General features: G+C 44.6%; 1 protein-coding gene across 8 annotated transcripts in view, besides 1 other annotated feature; it reads left to right on the forward strand.

Annotated features, from left to right (window-relative positions):
- Window positions 1–26,397, forward strand: part of IHO1 (interactor of HORMAD1 1) — a 66,798-nt gene that overhangs the window by 21,311 nt on the left and 19,090 nt on the right. For 6 of the 8 annotated variants that reach the window (XM_011533672.3, NM_178173.4, NM_001135197.2 and 3 more), the window contains one exon: window positions 23,929–24,103. In XM_011533672.3, coding sequence (XP_011531974.1) covers window positions 23,929–24,103 — 175 coding nt within the window. Of the gene's footprint in view, window positions 1–1,221; window positions 1,379–23,928; window positions 24,104–26,397 lie in introns of those variants that run through there. The other 2 variants (XM_011533670.3, XM_011533671.3) reach the window with 2 other exon arrangements.
- Window positions 20,784–20,984: a silencer, noted in NCBI's record as "peak4647 fragment used in MPRA reporter construct". NCBI's record gives its function as "represses an SCP1 promoter by STARR-seq MPRAs in K562 erythroleukemia cells {active_cell/tissue: K562}" and the evidence as "EXISTENCE:reporter gene assay evidence [ECO:0000049][PMID:32103011]".

The raw sequence follows: 26,397 nt of genomic DNA on the forward strand, positions 1-26,397 counted from the left end.
AAAGACCCTTGCGGTGAGTGTTACAGTTCTTAAAAGCGGCATGTCCAGAGTTTGTTCCTTCTGATGTTTGGATGTGTTTGGAGTTTCTTCCTTCTGGTGGGTTTGGGGTCTTGCTGGCTCAGGAGTGAAGCTGCAGACCTTTGCGGTGAGTGTTAACAGCTCATAAAGGCAGTGCGGACCCAAAGATTGAGCAGGAGCAAGATTTATTGCAAAGAGTGAAAGAACAAATCTTCCGCAGTGTGGAAGAGGATCGGAGCTGGTTGCCACTGCTGGCTCGGGCATCCTCCTTTTATTCCCTTATCTGGCCCCACCCACATCCTGCTGATTGGTCCATTTTACAGAGAGCTGATCGGTCTGTTTTACAGAGAGCTGATTGGTCCGTTTTGACAGGGTGCTGATTGGTGTGTTCACAATCCCTGAGCTAGACACAAAAGTTCTCCAAGTCCCCACAGAGCACTGATTGGTGCATTTACAAACCTTGAGCTAGACACAGGGTGCTGATTGGCGTGTTTGCAAACCTTGAGCTAGACAGAGTGCTGATTGTTGTATTTACAATCCCTTAGCTAGACATAAAGGTTCTCCAAGTCCCCACTAGATTAGCTAGACACAGAGCACTGATTGGTGCATTTACAAACCTTGAGCTAGGCACAGAGTGCTGATTGTTGTATTTACAATTCCTTAGCTAGACATAAAGGTTCTCCAAGTCCCCACCAGATTAGCTGATACAGAGTGCTGATTGGTGCATTTACAAACCTTGAGCTAGACACAGAGTGCTGATTGGTGTATCTACAATCCTTTAGCTAGACATAAAGTTTCTCCAAGTCCCCACTAGACTCAGGAGCCCAGCTGGCTTCACCTAGTGGATCCTGCACTGGGGCCGCAGGCGGAGCTGCCTGCCAGTCCCACACCATGTGCCCACACTCCTCAGCCCTTGGGTGGTCGATGGGACCGGGCACCACGGAGCAGGGGGCAGTGCTAGTCAGGGAGGCTGGGGCCACGTAGGAGCCCATGGTGGGCCGGCACTGCTGGAGGACCCGGTGCACCCTCCACAGCTGCTGGCCCAGGTGCTAGGCCCCTCACTGCCTGGGGCCAGCGGCGCAGGCTGGCTGCTCTGAGTGCAGGGCCTGCCAAGCCCATGCCCACCTGGAACTCGAGCTGGCCCGCAAGTGCATGCGCAGCCCTGGTTTCTGCCCGTGCCTCTCCATCACACCTCCCTGCAAGCAGAGGGAGCTGGCTCTGACCTCGGCTAGCCCAGAGAGGGGCTCCCATAGTGCAGCGACAGGCTGAAGGGCTCCTCAAGCATGGCCAGAGTGGACGCCAAGGCCAAGGAAGCTCCGAGAGCAAGCGAGGGCTGCCAGCATGCTGTCACCTCTCAGAGGTACCTCATACAGACTCTTCTTCTCTTCATCTCTTCTGTATCTGCTGTATCTTCTTGTGCTTTTTTTATTCTGTCCATTACAAAAGTGGTATGAATCCAGCTCTGTGTGTTAACTGAGGAATGACTTTGTATCTAGCATTGGGCCTGTTAGTGTCAGAGAAGGTCCAACATCTGGACACTCAGTCCAGTTGCGGCAACTGCTACTGAAATAGCAAGGAGCAAAATCGAGATGATGTTCAGATATATGTTCAGTTGTACAGTGCAGTTTATGGGTACTGTGGAGATTAAGAGGCACTCTAGGTATTGACAAGGCTCATTGAGGTATTGTCCTCTCAACTACTCCACTAAGGTACTTACACTGGTGTCTACCATCCTGCAATAAGCTTGCCACTGCTAACTTAGTGAGTATGCCTGAGAAGTAGTGTATATTTAAGGGATTTGTAATTGCTTATTATATGCTCTTATCACTGGATAGTTTCTTTCCTCTTTAACACCTTCCTGAAGTTATCAATCGATCAGAAACCTAGAGCACTGTTTTTTTTAATTTCTCAAAAAAAAAAATGCTTACAGTTGATAGGGAGTAGTGAAAAACTATCTTTATTTCTAGATCATATATATATATATATATATATATATTTTTTTTTTTTTTTTTTTTTTTTGAGACGGAGTTTCACTCTTGTTGCCCAGGCTGGAGTGCAATGGCGTGGTCTCAGCTCACTGCAACCTTCACCTCCTGGGTTCAAGCAATTATCTCACCTCAGCTTCCCAAGTAGCTGGGATTACAGGTGCCTGCCACCACACCCAGCTAATATTTGTATTTTTAGTAGAGACAGGGTTTCACCATGTTGGAAAGTCTGATCTCAAACAACTGACCTCAGGTGATCTGCCCGCCTCAGCCTCCCAAAGTGCTGGGATTACAGGCATGAGACACCACGCCCAGCAAATCTTCATTAAGTCCAATTCCTCTGTTGGACTTTTTTGTTTTTGTTGCTGCTTGTTCCTTCAGTATCATATCCAAGATTGCCAAATCCAATGTCATGAAGCTTTTGCCTTCTCTCTTTTTTTTTTTTTGAGATGGAGTCTCACTCTGTTGCCCAGGCTGGAGTTTAGTGGCACGATCTCGGCTCACTGCAACCTCTGCCTCCCAGGTTCAAGCAATCCTCCTGCCTTAGCGCCCCCAGTAGCTGGGATTACAGGCATGCACCACCATGCCCAGCTAATTTTTGTTTTTTTGTAAAGACGAGGTTTCGCTATGTTGGCCAGGCTGGTCTTGGGACTCCTGACCTCAGGTAATCCAACCGCCTCAGCCTCCCAAAATGCTGGCATTACAGGCATGACTCCATGCCTGGCCTTCATAGTTTTAAGATATAAATCCTACATAATTTCAGTAGGCTCACAAAACTGTTCCCAGCCTACCAAGCCTAGCTAATTATTCTCTTTGGCCCAAGAGGAAAATCATAGAGAACTATTTTGAGCAATGATGGTGTTACCCATATTATATGTTTGTAACCCATTACTTAGTTTATCTCAGGGAATGTTTCTGTTACCAAAACACCAGGGGTTCAGTCTAGGTCCTGCTGCTCGCCACACAGAAAGCCAATCACTGAGATGAGGAGTATTACCAAGGAAGAAGGCTTTAATTGGGTGCTACAGCCAAGGAGATGGGAGCTTAGCCTCAAATCCATCTCCCTGACTAAAATTAAGGGTTTATTTAGCAGGGAGGAAATGTAACAATTTGTAAGAAAACAAGAACTAGGGAGGGGCAAGGAGGCATCTAGTGCAGTGATCTGGTGAGTTTCAGTTATTTGATACTTTTTTGAGAGGCCTGAAGGTCCTTTTCTGAGGAAGAAACTCAGATAAACAAATGCAAGTTTCAAGCTTTAACAGGAGAAGGGTCAATTTCTACATTTATCCAAAAACAACTGTCTATGGGACTAGGGCTAGTTTCATTTCTGAGTAAAAATAATCACCCTTCTCTATCCTGAACTATTAGAGTCTCTTTCTGTTTTAATAATAATGTTTATATCAAAATAGAAACAAGTAGTATTAATATTATAAAGGCTTCTTTGGCTCACAATATGTACTTATATGTTATCTAATTGCTTTGAATTTAACATTTGATAAAGGAATGATTTGTGTATGTGTTTTAATGCAGCAGTCCCTAACCTTTTTGGTAACAGGGACCAGTTTGTGGAAGACAATTTTTCCACAGACCAGGATACGGAGAAATTGTTTCAGAATGATTCAAGTGCATTAGATTTATCATGCACTTTGTTTCTATTATTACATTGTAATATATAATAGAATAATTATGGTCAGGCACAGTGGCTCACACCTGTAATCCCAGCACTTTGGGAGGCCGAGGCAGGCATATTGCTTGAGGTCAGGAGTTTGAGACCAGCCTGGCCAACATGGCGAAACCTTGTCTTTACCAAAAAATACAAAAATTAGCCGGGTGTGGTGGTGGGCTCCTGTAATCCCAGCTACCCGGGAGGCTGAGGGACGAGAATTGCTTAAATGTAAGGCCTAACACCATAAAAACCCTAGAAGGAAACCTAGGCAATACCATTCAGGACATAGGCATGGGCAAAGACTTCATGACTAAAACACCAAAAGCAATGGCAACAAAAGCCAAAATAGACAAATGGGATCTAACTAAACTAAAGAGCTATGCACAGCAAAAGAAATTATCATCAGAGTGAACAGGCACCCTACGGAATGGGAGAAAATTTTTGCAATCTACACATCTGATAAAGGGCTAATATCCAGAATCTACAAAGAAATTAAACAAATTCACAAGAAAAAAAACCCCATCAAAAAGTGGGCAAAGAATATGAACAGACACTTCTCAAAATAAGACATTTATGCAACCAACAGACATATGCAGAAATGCTCATCATCACTTGTCGTCAGAGAAATGCAAGTCAAAAACCACAATGAGATACCATCTCAAGCCAGTTAGAATGGCGATCATTAAAAAGTCAGGAAACAACAGATGCTGGAGAGGATGTGGAGAAATAGGAACACTTTTACACTGTTGGTGGGAGTGTACATTAGTTCAACCATTGTGGAAGACAGTGTGGCAATTCCTCAAGGATCTGGAATAGAAATACCATTTGACTCAGCAATCCCATTACTGGGCATATACCTAAAGGATTATAAATCATTAACTGATAAAGACACATGCACATGTATATTTATTGTGGCACTGTTAACAATAGCAAAGACTTGGAACTAACCCAAATGTTTATCAATGAGAGACTGGATTAAGAAAATGTGGCACATATACACCATGGAATACTATGCAGCCATAAAAAAGAATGAGTTCATGTCCTTTTCAGGGACATGGATAAAGCTGGAAACCATCATTCTAAGCAAACTATCACAAGGACAGAAAACCAAACACCACATGTTCTCACTCAAGTGGGAGTTGAACAATGAGAACACATGGACACAGGATAGGGAACATCACACACCAGGCTGGTTGGGGGGTGGGGGGCTGGGGGGCTGGGGGAGGGATAGCATTAGGAGAAATACCTAATGTAAATGAGGAGTTGATGGGTGCAGCAAACCAACATGGCACATGTATACCTAAGTAATAAACCTGCACGTTGTGCACATGTACCCTAGAACTTAAAGTATAATAAAAAAAAAAAAAAAGAAAAAATTATACAGCTCACTGTGATGTAGAATTAGTGGGAGCCCTGAGTTTGCTTTCCTGCAACTAGACGGTCCCATTTGTGGGTGATGGGAGACAGTGACAGATCATCAGGCATCAGATTCTCATAAGGAGCGCACAACCTAGATCCCTTGCATGTGCAGTTCACAATAGGGTTTGTGCTCCTGTTAGAATCTAATACTGGTACTGATCTGACAGAAGGCAGAGCTCAGATGGTAATAGAGACCAGCCTGGGCAACATGACTGTCAGTTCCCGGGTCTGGGTCCAGCCCATGCTGAAGTCCAAGGGGAGTGGGTGGATAAGCAGAAAGAACATTTGGGGGTCTGTAGGCAGATGAATATGGTTTTATTCTGCAGCTTTCTCATTAGCAGCTTACTCTCACACTGGCTTTCTTATTAGCAGCTTACTCTCACACTCTCCGCCCTGCTGTCTTGGCTGCTTGAGCTGGCTGCCCCCATGAGCAGCTGCGCAGCTGGCTCTCCCTTCCCTTCAGGGTCAGCAGCTTAACTCTTTCTCTGGGCACAAGCAAGCTGAGGTGTATCCTGGTTCCCACCTCTCCGTCTGCAAAGAAGGACAGCTCCGGCTCTCTCTCTCTCTTTCTCTGGGTGCCAGCATGCCCACCATGTCAAGCCATGTTGAGCTGAGCCAAGCCAAGCCCCCAAGAGACCCCTGTACAGTGTCAGCAGGACAGTTAATACCTTTTTTTTTTTTTTTTTTTTTTTTGAGATAGTCTTGCTCTGTTGCCCAGGCTGGAGTGCAGTGGATGCAATCTTGGCTCACTGCAGCCTCTGCCTTCTGGGTTCTAGTGATTCTCTTGCCTCAGACTCCCAAGTAGCAGGGATTACAAGCACATGCCACCACACCCGGCTAATTTTTGTATTTTTAGTAGAGATGGGATTTCACCATGTTGGCCAGGCTGATTTCAAACTCCTGACCTTATGATCCGCCCACCTTGGCCTCTCAAAGTGCTGGGATTATAGACGTGAGCCACTGCTCTTGGCTGCAGTTATACCTTTTTCAGACAATAGTGGCATAGAGCCAAGTATGAACTTACACAAACAGGTTATATAACAAGTGGAGTTATGTGCTTGCATGCCAAACTTGCTGAGTCATGCAGGCCTGGATATCTGCCTCGGCCTATTCCTTGACTAAAGCACATCCGTGTACCTTACAATGACAAAACCCTGTCTCTACAAAAAATAAAAAAATTAGCTGGGCGTGGTGATGCATGCCTACTAGGGAGGCTGAGTTGGGAGGATCACCTGAGCAGAGGTTGCAGTGAGATGGGATCATGCCATTGCATTCCAGCCTGGGTGACAGAGCAAGATCCTGTCTCAAAAAATGAATAAATAAAAAATAAGAGGCTCATGCTTGTAATCCCAGCACTTTGGAAGGCTGAGGCGGATGCATCACTTGAGGTCAGGAGTTTGAGACCAGCCTGGCCAACATGGTGAAACCCCATTGTTGGGAACAGGCCCCCAAGTCTGGCCATAAACGGGCCTCAAAACTGGCCAAAAACAAAATCTCCACAGCAGTGTGACATGTTCATGATGGCCTTGACGCCCACGCTGAAGGTGGTGGGTTTACCGGAATGAGGGCAAGGAACACCTCACCCACCCAGGGCAGAAAACTGCTTAAAGGCAATCCTAAACCACAACCAATAGCATGAATGATTTGTGCCTTAAGGACATGTTCCTGCTGCAGATAACTAGCCAGAGTCCATCCCTTTGTTTTGGCCCATCCCTTTGTTTCCCGTAAGGAATACTTTTAGTTAATATATAATCTATAGAAATAATGCTTATCACTGGCTTGCTGTCAATAAATATGTGGGTCAAACTCTGTTCGGGGCTGTCAGCTCTGAAGGCTGTGAGTCCCCTGATTTCCCTTTCCACACTCTATATTTCTGTGTGTGTGTCTTTAATTCTTCTAGTGCCGCTGGGTTAGGGTCTCCACAACCGAGCTGGTCTCAGCAAGTGGTGCCCATACGTGGGGCTCGAACCCTGGCCGAAGGGTCACCAGAGCAATGGTTGGAAAACGTAGAGCTAAGCTGGAGGACACCTGAGTACTCTTAAGCAATCCCTGTGGTGAGTAAGAAGGGGAGCTCGGAAGCATCAGGGTAACAATGGGACAAGTGTGGGCTCTGGTTCGTTCCACCTTGGAACCTTTCATACTAATGATGAGGAGGAAGGAAAGTATAACAAAGTAATAGAAGAGGTAATGGAGCAGGTTTGCTTGCCAGCTAAAGCTAAAGTGGCAAAGGAGGAAGAGTTTCATCCCTACCCTTCTGCACCCCCTCCTTATTTTGAAGAAAAAGAGTGGCCTGAGCCTCCAGATCTTTCTTTTCCGGAGGACACTGGGTGAAAAGTGGTTGCCCCAGTGACTGAGCAGCACCTTGAGCAACTGCTCTCAGTTCTATTCAGGCAGGAATTCAGCAAGCTAGACAAGAGGGTGATATAGAGGCTTGGCAGTTCTCTGTTAGGATACACCCCACAGATCAACAGGGAAATATTATAGCTACATTTGAGCCTTTTCCTTTTAAATTCGGGAAATGCCATGAGGGTCCCGTCCCGGGCCCTGTTCCAAACTGGGGCATTTCCGGCTCAGGCAATTCCCTCATCTGTGTACAATGCCTGTCCCCCACCACAGCTGGTAGTGCCGCAGTAGATTTGTGTCCAGAATTTATTCCTTCCAGCAGGTTCTTGGTCTCGCTGACTTCAGGAATGAAGCCGCAGACCTTAGTGGTGAGTGTTACAGCTCTTAAAGATGGTGTGTCCGGAGTTTGTTCCTTCAGATGTTAAGATGTGTCTGGAGTTTCTTCCTTCCAGTGGATTTGTGGTCTTGCTGACTTTAGGAGTGAAGCCATGGATCTTTGTGGCGAGTGTCACAGCTCTTAAAGGTGGTGCAGACCCAGCCAGCCATGGTGGCTCATGACTGTAATCCCAGCACTTTGGGAGGCTGAGGTGGGCGGATCATGAGGTCAGGAGATCAAGACTATACTGGCTGACACAGTGAAACCCCATCTCTACTAAAAATATAAAAAATTAGCCGGGCGTGGTGGTGGGCACCTGTAGTTCCAGCTACTCAGGAGGCTGAGGCAGGAGAATGGCATGAACCTGGGAGGCAGAGCTTGCAGTGAGCTGAGATAGCGCCACTGTACTCCAGCCTGGGCGACAGTTCAAGACTCCATCAAAAAATAAAAAATAAAAGGTGGCGTGGACCCAAAGAGTGAGCAGCAGCAAAAGAACAAATCTTCCACAATGTGGAAGGGGACCCGAACGGGTTGCCGCTGCTGGCTCCAGTGGCCAGCATTTATTCCATAATTTGGCCCTGCCCACATTCTGCTGATTGGTCCACTTTACAGTGAGCTGATTGGCCCATTTTACAGAGTGCTGATTGGGCCATTTTACAGAGTGCTGATTGGTGCATTTACAATCCTTTAGCTAGACACAGAGTGCTGACTGGTGTGTTTTTACAGAGTGCTGATTGGTGCATTTTTACAGAGTGCTGATTGGTGCATTTACAATCCTTTAGCTAGACACAGAGCGCTGATTGGTGTATTTTTACAGAGTGCTGATTGGTGCGTTTACAATCCTTTAGCTAGACACAGAGCACTGATTGGTGCATTTTTACAGAGTGCTGATTAGTGCGTTTACAATCCTTTAGCTATACACATAGTGCTGATTGGTGCGTTTTTTACAGAGTGCTGATGGTGCATTTACAATCCTTTAGCTAGACACAGAGCGCTGATTGGTGCAGTTACAATCCTCTAGCTAGGCAGAAAAGTTCTCCAAGTCCCCACTCGACCCAGGAAGTCCAGCTGGATTCACCTCTCAATCCCCCCTCTAAACAGGACACCCCAACTGCTGTTGGGAATTGGGTGATGACCGCTATAGCTACTTCCTGCTGGTTAGGGGCGAAGAAGGGGCCCTGCTGTGGTAGTGTCCTCCAGAGGGGAACTCTCTAGGCCAGCCAAAGGGCCAGTGGGTCAATCCAGGGGTCCTTGGTAGAAGTTGTTAGTTGAGCTCATTTGGGGTTCCATTTGTAAGACCATCTATAGACTGATGGCCTCGATACTAGAGGAAACAAATTTGACAAGGATGTTAAAACACAGGGCCCGAAGGCGAGTAATAGCAAGATGGCTGTCAGGAGGCCTAGAAAGGGGAGAAGCCTTGTCGCCCAACTCCAGAGGCTGGTATAAGAGTTTGAAAGGCACTGTCTGATTTCAGAAGCCTTTTCCTATAAACGCCGGGTGGCATCTTGTACTATCGCTGACTGGTTAGTGTAAAAACAGCACTCTTACCCTAAGAAGGTGCAGAGTCCTCCTTTCTCAGCAGTGAGGAGGTCTAGGTCTCAGCAGTTTTGGAGAGTTAGTGATGCCAAAGAGTCTATTTGGGATTGTAGAGTAAGGATAGATTTCGTCATTTCTTGCAAACTGTCTGAGAAATCCTTTGAGAGTCTGTGGTAGTAGCATAATGAAGTAGATAAACTGGCTATTCTGGTTTCTGTAGCCATAGCTGTTCCTAACCCTATAAGTAGGGGTATTAGTTGTATGGCTCTGCGCTGACGGATAGAGAGCTACAAAGCCAACAGTCATTTGCCAGGGAAGGATTGGACTGGTTTAACAGAGAGTGGGTTAAGTTGAGAGTCTTGTACAGGTAATTAGGAGCTAGGGGAAGGGGAGGGGCAATTGTATGAGGTGTCCAAGGAAGCAGGAGGGATAGATAGGCAAAGAGTAAATAGGAAGGTAAGGAGGGTGCTCTGGAACACGAGATCATTTTATCCAGTCTGAGTTAAAGGTGGGAGTAAATTGCTGTCAGAAGGAAGGAAGATAGAAAAAAGGTTGATGTGATTAGGATTTGCATCCCAGCAGGAGCTATAGTATGTAGTCCTATCGTAAAGAGTATGGTTAGTATGCTGCTTAATAATATTATGAAATAGTAAAAGGATTCCATTAAAGGGGCAAGGAGAGGTATTAAAGATTATGTAGGTTTTCACTTATCTTTTTTAAGGAGGAAAGGGTTTTTCCTCAGGATCAGTGGTAGGAGCCTTTTTAGTCTGGGATATTTCCTTTCAAAATAGGAGATGCAAGTCCTCCAATGGTTCGCAAGTTTATTGAGGCTGGTCTGGGTGATCTTGGGACTCCTGAACTGACGGTCCTGCAGGTTCCGCAGGGGGTGTCCAAAATTTAACTCAATTGTAGTGAATCCAAGATTCCACTCCTGCCACCTTAACTGCAGTGGGGTTAGAAAGGATTACCGAGTATGGTCCTTCCTACAAATAATCCATAGATGGAGAGGTAGATGGGAGAGATTTGACCAACACTAGATCTCCTGGTTGAAACAACTCTGTTCCCTTTTCTCTGTGACATCCTTCAGGTAGGTTTTTAAGGTTTCATTGATATTTTGCCAAAGAAGTTATGTATTTGACCAAGTTGGCCGTTTCCTGATCAAGTAGGAGGTCATTTGTGATAAAAGGTTGTCCATACAGCATTTCATATGGACTGAGCCCCATATTGTGAGGAGAATTTCAGATTCTTAACAAGGCCATGGGCAAAAGACTAGGCCATGGGAGATGAGTTTCTTGTGTTAGTTTCCTTAAGTGCTTTTTGAGTGTTTCATTTGCTTTCTCGACCTTCCCTGAGGATTGTGGCCTCCAGGCACAGTGAAGGTGATATTGTATCCCTAGTGCCCTCGAAATTCCCTGAGTTATCATGGCTTTAAAAGCCTGACCATTGGCCAGGTGTGTGGCTTATGCCTGTAATCCCAGCACTTTGGGAGACCGAGGCGGGCGGATCACGAGGTCAGGAGATTGAGACCATCCTGGCTAACACGGTGAAACCCCGTCTCTACTAAAAATAAAAAAAATTAGCTGGGTGTGGTCGTGGGCACCTATAGTCCCAGCTACTCGGGAGGCTGAGGCAGGAGAATGGCGCGAACCCGGGAGGCAGAGCTTGCAGTGAGCCGAGATCACGCCACTGCACTCCAGCCTGGGAGAGAGAGTGAGACTCCGTCTCAAAAAAAAAAAAGCCGGACCATTGTTGGTCTGTAAGCTTTGGGGAAGCCCAAATCTAGAAATTATTTCATGTATTAGGACTTTAATTGCTTCCTGAGCCTTCTCTGTCTTGCAGGGAAAAGCATCTATCCAATTTGTAAAGGTATCAACACAGACCAACAAGTATTGAAATCCGTTTGACTTAGGGATATGGGTGAAGTCTAACTGCCAGTCCTCTCCAGGATAGTGACCTATTCTTTGTTCCCCCAAAGGGACCTTACGATGGACCAAAGGATTCTTCCTTTGGCACACCTCACAGGCTTTGACTACCTGTTGGATGGCCCGGAAGAGATTTGGCCCTGTAGATAGGGATTTGGCCATTTGATGAGTGTTTTCAATACCCATATGAAAAGTTTGGTGGAGCGTTTTAAGTATTTTCTGGTGTCTGGCTTTAGGCATAAGTACCTTTCCTTCTTCTGTTGTTAACCACCCCGAGGGGAGAAAACTATGCCCCCATGAAAGTCCCCATTCTGTTTCAGTCGGGGAATACTGGGGCTTAATCTCGTGGAGGGAGTTGTTCCATACCAAGGATCCTTCCGTAGGTATTTCTAATGGGAGGTTCCACCTGGCAGCAATTTTGGCCTCAGCATCTGCCTGACGGTTTCCTTCTGCCTTTTCTCCCTCACCTTTCTGATGGCTTTGGCAGTGTAAGACTGCCACCTCCTTGGGTTTTTGCACTGTGTGCAATAACTCCATAATTTCCTTGTGGTATTTAATGGGGGTTCTTCCCAGAGGTTAGGAACTCCCTTTCTTTCTATATTGCAGCATGGGCATGTAGGATTAGATAACCATACTTGCTATCTGTATACACATTTATTCTTTTTCTTTTTCCCAGTTCTAAGGCTCTGGTAAGTGCCACTAGTTCTGCTAACTGGGCGCTGGTCCCTGGGGGAAGAGGCTTACTTTCAAGTATGGTTACATCACTAACTATGGCATAACCTGCCCTTCGTATCCCATTCTCCACAAATGAACTTCCATCGGTATATAGGTTAAGGTCAGGATTAGCTAAGGGGACTTCTAAGATATCATCTTGAGCGGCATAAGTCTGGACTATAATTTGTTGGCAGTCACACTTGATTGGTTCCCCATCCTCTGGGAGAAAAGTGGCAGGGTTGAGGGCTACGCATGTATGTATTTGAAGGGCCATTCCCTCAAGGAGTAGCACCTGGTATCTAAGTAGGCAGTTGTCTGATAGCGATAAACTTCCTTTGACACCTAGTATGCCATTTACATGAGTAGTCCAGACAGTGAGATTCTTTCCTTGTATTATTTTGATAGCCTCTGTCACTAAGACGGCCACTGCCGCAACTACCCGTAAACAGTGAGGCCAGCCTTTTGCTACTACATCAGTTTCTTTATTTAGGTATGCCACTGGTTATGGGGTTGTCCTGCGGGTCTGAGTAAGGACTCCAAGAGCTATCCCTGCTCTCTCTGTGATGTATAAAGAGAAGTTTTGGCTGGGCGCAGTGGCTCACGCCTGTAATCCCAGCACTTTGGGAGGCTGAGGCGGGCAGATCATCAGGTCAGGAGTTCAAGACCAGCCTGACCAACATGGTGAAACCCCGTCTCTACTAAAAATAAAAAATTAGCTGGGCATGGTGGTGGGTGCCTGTAATCCCAGCCACTCAGGAGGCTGAGGCAGGAGAATCACTTGAACCCAGGAGGCAGAGGTTGCAGTGAGCAGAGATTGCGCCATCGCATCCCAGCCTGGGTGACAGAGTGAGACTCCGTCTCAAAAAAAAAAAAAGAAAAGTTTTGTCCTGTGGGAAGGCTTAAGGCTGGAGCTTGAGTTTGTTCCTTCCAATGCCCAAACTTCAGGGTTGATTCCCTCCACCGGTAGGGGACAACAAATGGGTAACTTATTCCCCCATATTCATGTAGATAATAGCTCCAGCTTTGGCTAATATATCCCTCCCTAATAAGGGTGTGGGACTTTCAGGCACAACAAGAAAGACATGTGAAAAGAGCAAAGTCTCCCAATTACAACTGAGAAGGTGGGAGAAATACCTGGTTACAGGCTGTCCCAGTACTCCTTGGATGGTAACAGACCTTGAGGACAGTCGCCCGGGACAGGAGATTAACACTGAGAAGGCCGTGCCGGTGTTCAGGAGGAAGTCAATTTCCTGGCCCTCGATGGTTATACATACCCAGGGCTCAGTGAGGGTGATGACATGAGCTGGCGCTTGCCCCGGGCACCCTCAGTCCTGTTGTTGGATCATCTGGTTGGGGGCTTGTGGCCCAGAGGACCTTTGTCCTCTGGGGTAGTGCACCTTCCAGTGATTGCCTTGGCATAATGGACATAAGTGAAGGGGCAGCTCGTTTCTCATTGGACACTCTTTTAAAGTGTCCTTGCAAACCACACTGGTAACAAGCCCTACCAGGTAATTGGCATGCTCCATTTTCTGTCCTCTCTGAACCACCAAGGTTGGTTTGTCTGAGTGCCATGACTAAGGCTGCAGCCTTTCTCTGATCTCACTTTTCCTTTTGGGCCTGTTCCTCTTGGTCCCTACACCGAGGTAGCCAGGTTTAATAATGCCTCCAGATTTTGTTCAGGGCCCAGGGCTCACTTTTGGAACTTTCTCCTGATATCTGCAACTGATTGGGTAATAAACTTATCTTTTAGGATCAATTGACCCTCGAGTGAGTCAGGTGACAGGGGAGTATATTTTCTTAAGGCTTCCCGTAACCGCGCGAGGAAGGCAGAAGGATTTTCTTCCTTTCCCTGAGTTATGGTGGACATCATTGAATAATTCATGGGCTTTTTCCTAATTCTCCTTAGTCCTTCTAGAACACAGGTCAACAGATGTTTGTGATTCCAGTCCCCATGATCTGAGTCAAGGTCCCAGTGGGGATCCATACTGGGGATAGCTTGCTGACCGGTAGGGAATTTGTCCCTTTCTTCAGCTGTCATTCTGTCATTTACTTCACTAAGATACCAGGTATCTCCAAACTCTTGGGCTGCAGCTAAAGCCGCATTCTTTTCATTAAAGGCCAGGGTTTGATCTAACAATAGCATGACATCTCTCCAAGAGAGATCGAGGGTCTGCCCTAAACCCTGTAGGACATCTATATACCTATCAGGATCATCTGAAATCTTCCCCAGATCTACCTTGATCTGCTTTAAATCAGAGAGGGAGAAGTGGACATGTACCTGGGTTGGGCCAAATTCCCCTCCCCCTACAGCTTGAAGGGGACGTAACCGATAACCTGGGGGTTTTTGTGGTCCTTTGGAGATTTCTTTGCTTGTTTTCTTCTGGGCAGGGGAGATTAAAGGAGGCTTCTCATTAATAGGAAGGGGAGCTATAGGGAGGCTAGGATATGGAGGTAAGCTGAGAGGCCCTCCTGTGGGATGTAAATTGCAAGCTTTGCATAGTTGTGTATTCTCCTTCAATGAAAAGAAAGCTTGGACATAAGATATTTCACTCCATTTGCCTTCACTCTTACAGAAAAGGTTAAGCTGCAGGATAGTATTGTAATTTATACTTCCCTCAGATGGCCATTTTTCCCCATCAGAGAATATCGGGGCCAGGCCATAGTGCAGAAAAAAATGAGCCACCACTTTTTCAGGGTTTGCAGGTCAAATTGGTCCCAATGGCTTAGGATGCATTTCAGGGCTGAGCCTGTTGATGCCTGAGTGTTTCCCATCTGAAAGACAAAACCGCCCATGGTTTTGGTTTGTTTGTTTCTACCCCCAGTCCAAGAACCCCCAATGGTCCCTGGACCCTGCTGATTGGAATATTGCACTCACCGACGCAGCAGCAGAAACAGTAGTTTTCCTCCTAGACCACAAGGAGGACTGAGGAAGATCAGATTTAGTGGCCCTTACTGACACATTCTCGAAAACCTGCACCCTTGCCTGTCTTCCTAGATCACAAAGCGGACTGAGAAAAATCAGATTTAGTGGCCCTTACCAATGCATTCTTGAAAACCTGTTAGAGTCCTAAGCATTCTCCTGTTAGTACTGGGACTTTGCCCCGTCCTATAAAGATGTTATGCCCCCAAAATGAAATGGAGGGCCATACCCTGAGGGAGGGGAGGGATCTCCAGGGTTGGTAGAGTGACACCTTTTATCCTCACTTGAATAGGAAGGATATCATTTCTGAAGCTCCCCATATCCTAGCTTCAGGAATAGCTTTTGTTAGGCCTGCTAGTCTGAGGAGGGATCCTAAAATTCCAGATAGTCCCCCCTACGACGGAGCTTTGGGCAAAAATTATGTCTTTCTTATTGGTGAGCCCAGGTGCCTAAAGAAGGGAATAGAGTCCTGGAGTTTATACTAGAAATCATTATTACAAGAGAAACTAGAAAAGCACCAGACAAGGAGTGGTTTTTAGAAGCAGGACTAGCCTCGGAGAAGAGAGGTGAGAGAAAGTTTATCTGACAAGCATTAGGACCCAGGAGGCAAGTGTCAGGATAGATAGGATAGATGGGTGAGTCTCCCTTGGGTGACATGACTTTGAGAGTTCTACTCACAGCCGCAGGGTCAACCAACTTGTTGTCGGGACCCCAGAACTGAATGGCTTTCCTCTCTGTCAACCTTTATCTCAGCCCGGAAGTACAGGAAAAGCAGAAGCTGGTTCCAGGCAAACCAATGCTCTCCACTCCGAAGAGTCAGGGGTTGTTAGAGAGCCCTTTCCTAGAAAGCCTGACAGCCATGTCTTTAGTCCAGCGGCCACGCTAGTCACTTTTAACTGGCCGACAGGTGCCCGGTATTTAGCCCCTGAATTCTAAGGAAAAATAGAACAGAATAGCAAGCGAAAGGGGTCTGATGGTACTCACTGCTTGGTGAAGGCCCCACATTGGGCGCCAAAATGTGTCCAGAATGTATTCCTTCCAGTGGGTTCTTGGTCTCGCAGACTTCAGGAATGAAGCTGTGGACCTTCGCGATGAGTGTTACAGCTCTTAAAGATGGTATGTCCGGAGTTTGTTCCTTCAGACGTTTAGATGTCTCTGGAGTTTCTTCCTTCCAGTGGGTTTGTGGTCTTGCTGACTTCAGGAGTGAAGCCATGGATCTTTGTGGCGAGTGTCACAGCTCTTAAAGGTGGTGTGGACCCAAAGAGTGAGCAGCAGCAAGATTTATTGTGAAGAGCAAAAGAACAAAGTTTCCACAGTGTGGAAGGAGACCTGAGCGGGTTGCCTTTGCTGGCTGGGGTGGCCAGCTTTTACTCCCTTATTTGGCCCTACCCACATCCTGCTGATTGGTCCATTTTACAGAGAGATGACTGGTCCATTTTACAGAGTGCTGATTGGGCCATTTTACAGAGTGCTGATTGGTGCATTTACAATCCTATAGCTAGACACAGAGTGCTGATTGGTGCGTTTTTACAGAGTGCTGATTGGTGCGTTTACAATCCTTTAGCTAGACACATAGCGCTGATTGGTGCGTTTTTACAGAGTGCTGATTGCTGCATTTACAGTCCTTTAGCTAGACACAGAGCACTGATTGGTGCATTTACAATCCTCTAGCTAGACAGAAAAGTTCTCCCAAGTCCCCACTAGACCCAGGAAGTCCAGCTGGCTTCACCTCTCAGTTTTATGCTGCACAAAAGCTGTGAGCCTTCTGCCTGGGGAAACCCCGCAAAAGTTCCAACGGGTCTGTGGACCCTTGCCAGCGGTGATGATAGGATTACTTCCAGGTAGATCTACTTTAAATTTAAAAGGAGTGCAAGTACAAACAGGAGTCATTGATTCAGATTACAATGGGGAAATTCAAATTGTTATATCTACTTCTGTTCCCTGGAAAGCAGAGCCAGGAGAGCGCATAGCACAACTTCTGATTGTGCCGTATGTAGAAATGGGGAAAGTGAAATTAAATGAACAGGATTATTTGGAAGCACAGATAAGGCAAAGCAGCTTATTGGGTGAATCAAATTACTGATAAACATCATACCTGTGAAATAACTATTCAGGGAAAGAAATTTAAAGGTTTAGTAGATACAGGAATGGACATTTCAATCATTTCTCTTCAGCATGGCCGTCAACATGGCCAATTCAACCCACTTAATTTAACATAGTTGGAGTTGGTAAAGCCCCTGAAGTATATCAAAGTAGTTATATTTTGCATTGTGAAGGGCCTGATGGACAACCTGGGACTATTCAACCAATTATAACTTCTGTACCTATAAATTTATGGGGAAGAGATTTATTACAACGATGGGGAGCACAAGTTCTAATTCCTGAGCAGTTTTACAGCCCTCAAAGTCAACATATGATGCATGAAATAGGGTATGTCCCTGGTATGGGACTAGGAGAAAATTTGCAAGGTTTGAAGGAACCGCTTCAAGTGGAAAGACAAAGTTCCTGCCAAGGTTTAGGATATCATTTTTGATGGCGGACATTGTTAAGCCTCAAGAACCTATACCTTTAAAATGGTTAACAGATAAGCCAATTTTGATAGAACAATGGCTGCTAAGTAAAGAGAAACTGGAGGCTTTAGAGTACTTACTTACTGAACAATTAGAAAAAGGACACATAGCTCCAACATTTTCCCTTTGGAATTCTCCAGTCTTTGTTATTAAGAAAAAATCAGGTAAATGGAGAATGTTAACTGATTAATTCAGTTACACGACCTATGGGGACATTACAGCCAGGATTGCCTTCTCCTGCTATGATTCCGAAAAACTGGCCTTTAATAGTCATAGATTTAAAAGACTGTTTCTTTACTACCCCTTAGCTGAGCAAGACTGTGAATGGTTTGCATTTACAATTCCTGCAGTAAACAACCTGCAGCCTGCTAAGCATTTTCACTGGAAAGTGTTGTCACAAGTCATGTTAAACAGTCCAACAATTTGCCGGACTTATGTAGGGCAAGCAATTGAACCTACTTGTAAAAAATTTTCACAGTGTTACATTATTCATTATATGGATGATATATTTTGTACTGCCCCCACTCAAGAAATATTGCTCCAATGTTATGACCACTTGCAAAATTCGATTTCTCACACTGGTTTATTTATAGCTTCTGACAAAATTCAGACTAATACTCCTTACTCCTACTTGGCGACCTTGGTAAATGACACTACTATTGTGCCACAGAAAGTAACCATATGTAGGGATCAATTGAAAACATAAAATGACTTTCAAAAATTACTAGGGGACATTAATTGGATACAACCTGTTCTAGGCATTCCTACCTATGCCATGAGTAATCTATTTTCTATCTTTAGAGGAGGTCCTAGTCTCACTAGCCCTCAACAATTAACAAAGGAGGCTGAGGCAGAGTTACAGCTGATTGAAAAGCAAGTCCATAAGGCTCAAATAAATAGAATAGATACAGAGAAGACTCTAGATTTGCTAATTTTTCCAGCTCATCATTCACCTACTGATGTTATTGCCCAACAGCAGGACTTAGTAGAATGGCTTTTTCTTCCAAATACTAATTCACAGACTCTAACTTCTTATTTGGATCAAATCGCTACTATGATAGGAAATGGGAGAACTTGGATTGTTAAATTACATGGATATGATCTTGGAAAAATTATTGTCCCTCTCACGAAGGCACAAATACAGCAAGCTTTTATAAATAGTCTTACTTGGCAAACCCATTTAGCTGACTTTGTGAGTATTCTCGATAATCATTTTCCTAAAACAAAACTGTTTCCATTTTTGAAATTAACTAATTGGATTCTCCCTAAAATAACGAAATTTAAACCAATTGAAGGTGCTGAGAATGTTTTTACAGATGGGTCTACAAATGGTAAAGCTTCTTATTCTGGCTTGAAAGGTAAAGTTTTTCAGATGCCTTATACTTCAGCTCAAAAAGTGGAGCTTGTAGCTGTAATTGAGGTATTGACTGTTTTTGATATGCCTATTAATGTGATTTTGGATTCTTCATGGTTCATTCCACACAATTAATTGAAAATGTGCAGTTAATGATTTCATACAGATGAACAACTGATGACTTCATTTGCCCAATTGCAAACAGCAGTTAGGAGTAGAATGCACCCTTTTTACATTACTCATATTAGGGCTCATATGCCTCTTCCAGGACCTTTAACTGAAGGAAATCAAATGGCTGATTGCCTAGTTGCTACTGCAATATCTAATGCCAAACATTTTCACAATTTAACCCTTGTTAATGCCTCTGGTCTCAAACGCAGATACAGCATTACCTGGAAAGAAGCTAAAGCTATCATCCAGCGATGCCCAACTTGCCAAATGGTGCATTCCTCATCTTTTACAGGAGGAATTAATCCTCAAGGATTGGAACCTAATTCTCTTTGGCAAATGGATGTCACACATGTTCCGTCGTTTGGGAGACTAGCTTATGTACATGTATGCGTGGACACCTTTTCTTACTTTGGGCTACATGCCAATCAGGAGAGTCTTCTGCCTGTGTTAAATGTCACCTTTTGCAGTGTTTTGCAGTGATGGATATTCCAGCTTCTATTAAAACAGATAATGCCCCAGGCTGTACTAGCCAAGCTCTAGCTACATTTTTCTCTCTATGGAATATTAAACACATTACTGACATTCCATATAATTCTCAAGGACAAGCCATAGTAGAAAGGATGAATCTCTCCCTGAAACAGTAGTGGCAAAAGCAAAAGGGGAGAAACAGGGACTACAGGACACCCCATATACAATTGAATCTAGCATGATTGACTTTAAATTTTTGGAGCCTGCCTAAAGGCCAGATGCTATCAGCAGCTGAACAGCATCTACAGAAACCAGCTACAAAGACAGAAGCAGAACAACTGGTTTGGTGGAGAGATCTGATAACAAAAAGTTGGTAAATAGGTAAAATAATAACTTGGGGTAGTGGTTATGCTTGTGTTTCTCCAAGACGGAATCAACAGCCAATTTGGGTGCCATCAAGACATTTAAAGCCTTAACTATGAGCCAGATACCCAGGAAAAGGTTTTGGGAGGATCCCAAAGACCCACCAGTTGCAGCCATGTTGAGACTGATGCTGAGGAGAACCCCAACTGTCACAAGCAACACCCATCGAACACAGCCACCTACCTGGGGACAGATCAAGAAGCTGTCACAGATGGTGGAAGAAAACCTTAGGAAAGCAGGACAACCAGTCACAATTGTAATTTAATGATAGTTATGATAGCGGTGATCACCATTGCCATGAGTATTCCTTCAACAAGGGCTGACACAGAGAACAATTATATTTATTGGGCGTATTTATCAATCTTGGCTGGCAATAACGCCTGGATGTAATGACTCTATGACACATTTACACATGCTTTCTGGTCTCAGTATTTACCATAATAAATCTGCTCCTATAATTGAGGCATACAGCCCTCAAAAACCTATTTGTAAACAGAATTGGACCTGGTCAGAAATAATGAATGTACTTGTTTGGGAAGATTGCATTGCAGAATAGGCACAGGTGCTGCGTAACGATTCCTGTGGAATCGTTATTGATTGGTCCCCTAAGGGACCAAGCTTGAATTGCACCTCTCAGTCAGCGTGCCACGGCCACACTATGTTCAGCTGGTTTAAACAAAACGGTCAGATGGTAGAAATTGTAAGAAATATGGCAAGAGTTCCTGTTATCTGGAAACATGGCAGTATAGTGGCACTTCACCCTCAAATGTTATGGCCTGCTGTAGGAGCTAAACATAAGGATTTGTGGAAACTATTAATGGCTCTTAAATAAGATTGAAATTTGGAAAAGAATAAAAAAGCATCTAGAAGGACACTCTACAAACTTGTCTTTGGATGTTGCAAAATTAAAAGAACAAATATTTAAAGCATCCCAGGCACACCTGACCTTAATGCCAGGAACTGGAGGGTTTGAAGGAGCATCAGACAGATTAGCAGCTATTAACCCATTGAAATAGATAAAGACACTTGGAGGCCCTGTGATTTCAATGATGATTGTGCTTTTAATCTGTGTTGTTTGTCTTTGTATAGTCTGCAGATGCAGATCCCAACTCCTGCGAGAAGTAGCTCACCATGACAAAGCTACCTTTGCTTTTATCGTTTTGCAAAACAAAAAAGGGGGACATGTTGGGAACAGGCCCCCAAATCTGGCCATAAACAGGCCCCAAAACTGGCCATAAACAAAATCTCTGCAGCACTGTGACATGTTCATTATGGCCATGATGCCCATGCTGAAGGTTGTGGGTTTACCAGAATGAGGGCAAGGAACACTTGGCCCACCGAGGGCGGAAAACCACTTCCAGGCATTCCTAAACCACAAACAATAGCATGAGCAATCCGTACCTTAAGGACATGTTCCTGCTGCAGATAACTAGCCAGAGCCCATCCATTTGTTTCGGCCCATCCCTTTGTTTCCCATAAGGAATACTTTTAGTTAATCTATAATCTATAGAAATAATGCTTATCACTGGCTTGTTGTCAATAAATATGTGGGTCAAACTCTGTTCGGGGCTGAGAAAAAAAAGGAAAAGCATGCTTTCTCAGGTTATGCAACAGTTAAGTAACACAAATTGTTACACAGATGTCTTTTGTTGTTGTTTTTTTTTTTTTTTTTTTTTTGGTTTTTTTGACGGAGTCACTCTCTCACCAGGCTGGAGTGCAGTGTGGCACAATCTTATCTCACTGCAACCTCCAGCTCCCTGGTTCAAGTGATTCTCCTGCCTCAGCCTCCTGATTAGGTGGGACTGTACAGGCACACACCGCCATGCCCAGCTAATTTTTTTTTTTTAATTTTAGTAGAGATGAGATTTCACAGTGTTGCCCAGGCTGGTCTCGAACTCCTGAGCTCAGGTAGTCTGCCCACCTCGGCCTCCCAAAGTGCTAGGATTACAGGCATGAGCCACCACGCCCAGGCTCTGGTGTCCCTTTTTATAAGGACACCAATCCTATCATAAGAACCCTACCTTCATGACTTCATCTAACCCTCATTACCTCCTTAAGGACCCATCTCCAAATACTATCACATCAGGGTTGTTACAATGATACCATCATAGCAACATATGAATTTGTGGGGGACACATCCAGTCCATAACAAGGCCTATCTGTGATTGTTTTATTATGCCTCCTTCTCTCCCTTCAGCCCTGCTCTGTTCCTTCCCTGTAGGCACACACACTAAAATTAATGTGTACCCTCCAATTACTTTCTATACACTCAGTTACATAATTGTTTGGTGTGTATAATGTAGGTTTAAAAATTTACATAAATGAACTGTAATAGAGTTAATTCTTTTTTTTTTTTTGAGACTGAGTCTCACTGTATCACCCAGGCTGGAGTGCAGTGGCACAATCTCGGCTCACTGCAACCTCTGCCTCCCGGGTTCCAGTGATTCTTCTGCCTCAGCCTCCCAAGTAGCTGGGATTACAGGTGTCTGCCACCATACCCAGCTAATTTTTGTATTTTTAGTAGAGACAGGGTTTCACCATGTTGGTCAGGCTGGTCTCGAACTCCTAACCTTGTGATCTGCCCACCTCGCCTCCCAAAGTGCTAGCTAGGATTACAGGCGTGAGCCACCGTGCCTGGCCAAGTTCATCCAATTTTTACCTTTTCTTGTACTCAAAACTATGTTTTTGAGAAGTCTCAAAATCCCATGTGATTATATATAAATCTTTTTTTTTTTTTTTTGAGGAGTCTTACTCTGTTGCCCAGGCTGGAGTGCAGTGGTGCAAATTTGGCTGACTACAAGCTCCGCCTCCTGGGTTCATGCCATTCTCCTGTCTCAGCCTCCCAAGTAGCTGGGATTACAGGCACCCACCATCAGGCCTGGCTAATTTTTTTGTATTTTTTAGTAGAGATGGGGTTTCACCATGTTAGCCAGGATGGTCTCGATCTCCTGACCTCATGATCCACCCTCCTCGGCCTCCCAAAGTGCTGGGATTACAGGCGTGAGCCACCGCACCCGGCCGATTATATATAAATCTAACTTAATGCTTCTGGCTGCTGAATCAGCTAATGCATGTACCTTATTTTATTTATCTATTTTAATGATGAACAGATTGATCTTTTAAAAAGATAACATTCTTGGCTGGGTGCAATGGCTCATGACTGTCATCCCAGCACTTTGGGAGCCTGAGGTGAGCAGATTACCTGAGGTCAGGAGTTCGAGAGACCAGCCTGGCCAACATGGTGAAACCCCATCTCTATTAAAAATACAAAAATTGACCACATGTGGTGGCAGATGCCTGTAATCCCAGCTACTCAGGAGGCTGAGGCAGGAGAATGGCTTGAACCCGGGAGGTGGAGGTTGCAGTGGGCCAAGATTGCACCACTGCATGCCAGCCTGGGCAACAGAGTGAGACTCTGTCTCAAAAAAAAAAAAAAAAAGATAACATTCTTGGCCCTGCACGGTGGCTCACACCTGTAATCCCAGCAATTTGGGAGGCTGAGATGGGCGAATCACCTGAGGTCAGGAGTTCAAGACCAGCCTGGTCAACATGGTGAAACCCCATCTCAACTATAAATACAAAAATTAGCCTGGTGTGGTAGCACATACCTGTAGTCCTAGCTACCCAGGAGGCTGAGGCTGCAGTGAGCCGAGATCATGCCACTGCACTCCAGCCTGGGCGACAGAGTAGGATCCTGTCTCAAAACAATAAAATAAAATGATAACATTCTTTTAATCTCTACAATTTTATGAACTGTAATTTCCAATATGGTGTTGTAGCCCAGAATGCTGTTATACAAAGAATGATGATGTCAATCCTTTCTGTTTGAGTTTCCATCTGGTTGTTCCCAGATAGTAATAAAAATGTGTGGTATTCAGAATTTCCTTGTGTTTCATTGTACTGACAATATACAGGGGACTTGAAGGTCAGAACAAGCTATCATTCTGCCCAAAATGTTCTGAAATGGACAGCTGTGAACTATGATTTCATTTGTTCAGGATATTTGTCTATTTGATACACTTTTTTTTGCTAAATTTCAGGAACAAGAAGTCATCCAACTGGAATAATAATCAAAATGATTATTCCAGTCTCAGTGATTCCCAGTTCCTCTTTGGATCTCAGTTCTGTCCAGAAAATTCAGAAACCCTATCAGCACCCTTGGACTTTGGTGCCCACTTGAGACATTCAAAACAGTCACAACAGAACTATCTGGAGGTGAGTCTGGTTTCCAGAATTGATCTGCACACATTTCACAGTCATTATGGAGATAAACTATAAAGAATACTTATTCTGGCCAGGTGCAATGGCTGACACCTGTAATCCCTGCACTTGGGGAGGCTGAGGCAAGTGGATCCCTTGAGCCCAGGAGTTTGAGACCAGCCTGGGCAACATGGCAAAACCCCATCTCTACAAAAAGTACAAAAATTAGCTGAGTGTGGTGGCTGAGGCAGGAGGATTGCTTGAGCCCAGGAAGTCAAGGCTGCAGTGACCCATGATTCTGCCAGTGTACTCCAGCCTGGGTGACAGAGTGAGAACCTGTCTCAAAAAAAAAACAAACAAGGCCAGGTGTTGTGGCTCATGCCTGTAATGCCAGCAATTTGGGAGGCCGAGGCAGGTGGATCACAAGGTCAGGAGTTCAAGACCAGCCTGGCCAAGATGGTGGAACCCCGCCTCTACTAAAAATACAAAAATTAGCCGGGTGTGGTGGCAGGCGCCTGTAATCCCAGCTACTCGGGAGGCTGAGGCAGAGAATCGCTTGAACTCAGGAGGTAGAGGTTGCAGTGAGCCGAGATCAAACCACTGAACTCTATCCTGGGAGATAGAGCATGACTCTGTCTCAAAACAAACAAACAAAACAAAAAAACCCGACAACCAATACTTAGTTTCTAGCCTTAAAAAAATTACTTATTCTGTTGGAATATGTTTTAGAATTGTACATCTGTAAGGATTACTCTCCTAAAGGGATTTGTGCTTGATTAGTGACTCATTTGACTTAATAGTCTGAAATGGCAACATTTATATTTGCGGTTTCTTCTATTACAAAGCAACGTAAAATAGTGTCAATTCCTTGACCAATCCTAGGGAGAGGCAAATATATATACATATATATTTGCCTAAGGCTAGTCATACTATTGTTTGTGAGAATTTATAAGTAAAAATAGTTTTCATAAAATAGAAATAAAATAACAAATTTTATTTTAGACAGACTTTTTTAAATAATAAACTTCATGTAATCTGTATACTTTAGTCAACTATACTACATTATGTCCTTGAAGAAGAAGGAGATGAGGATTCTGAGGCCTAGGTTAGTGAGTAAAGGCCAGAATGAGGAACAGAGTCTCTTGAATCCTTGATGTTTTGAGATTAACCTGTCTTTTCCTTTTTTTTTTTTTTTTTTTTTTTTTTTTTTTGAGACAGAGTCTTGCTCTGTCACCTGGGCCGAGGTCCAGTGGCATGATCTCAGTTCACTGACTGCAAACTTCGCCTTCCAGGTTCAAGTAATTCTCCTGTCTCAGCCTCCCTAGTAGCTGGGATTATAGGTGTGTGCCACCACACACGGCTGATTTTTGCGTTTTTAGTAGAGACAGTGTTTCTCCATGTTGGCGGGCTAGTCTTGAGCTCCTAACCTCAGATGATCTGCTCACCTCAGCTGCCCAAAGTGCTGGGATTACAGGTGTGAGCCACCATGCCCAGCCTGATTCTTTGAGATCAATCTGTGTTTTCTTGTGAGTCAAAAACATTTTGATTTTGGAGGCACCTATAACTAAATGTAGTTTTGTTTTGTTTTGTTTTGTTTTGTTTTTGAGACAGAGTTTTTCCCTCTGTCACCCAGGCTGTAGTGCAGTGGTGCTGTGGCAGGAATCAGAGGACCAGAGAGACCAAATGGATAAAACAGGAGGATTTTATTAAGGTGTGCACCGGCTCAGCGGATTCGCATCCAAAAGGCTGAGACCTGAACAGAAACAGGGCTTGACTTTTATACACATTTCTGAAAGGGGATTGGCCAGTTTGAATGGCGTGGAGGGAATTTGGTGGCATGAAGTGTATAGTGCAGGCAAGTGGGCATACAGAAGCAGAACAAAGGCAGTTAATCAAACAGTGACAGGTTTCATCATCCTAGCATAGCTCGTGACCTCGCAGCTGCATTGGAAGGAAAACAGGAACTTATCAAACTAAAGCAGGCTTTGCATCTGGTACATATCTTACTCAAGCTCGTCTTGTGACCTTGTCATGTTGCACAGAAGAGAAACAGGAATTGTAAAACTCTGTGAAGTAACCTTGAGTATCACTAAGGAAGGATTATCAAAGGGGAGGGGGAAGTTGGGAAAAGAGAAAAACCTGCTTTCCCACCCTCGCCTGGGAATGGGAGGAGAGGGGACTCTGGAGCACATTCCTTGAGGGCTCTGGTTTTGCACATAGTGTTATCAAAGCCCTGCCAGAGCTCTGCTGCCTATTGCTAGGTCTTGGAGTGAGTCAGCCCAGCAAGAGAAAACTTGTTTTTCTCTTTA

The sequence above is a fragment of the Homo sapiens genome, chromosome 3, assembly GCF_000001405.40.
Source record: "Homo sapiens chromosome 3, GRCh38.p14 Primary Assembly".
NCBI lineage: Eukaryota > Metazoa > Chordata > Mammalia > Primates > Hominidae > Homo > Homo sapiens.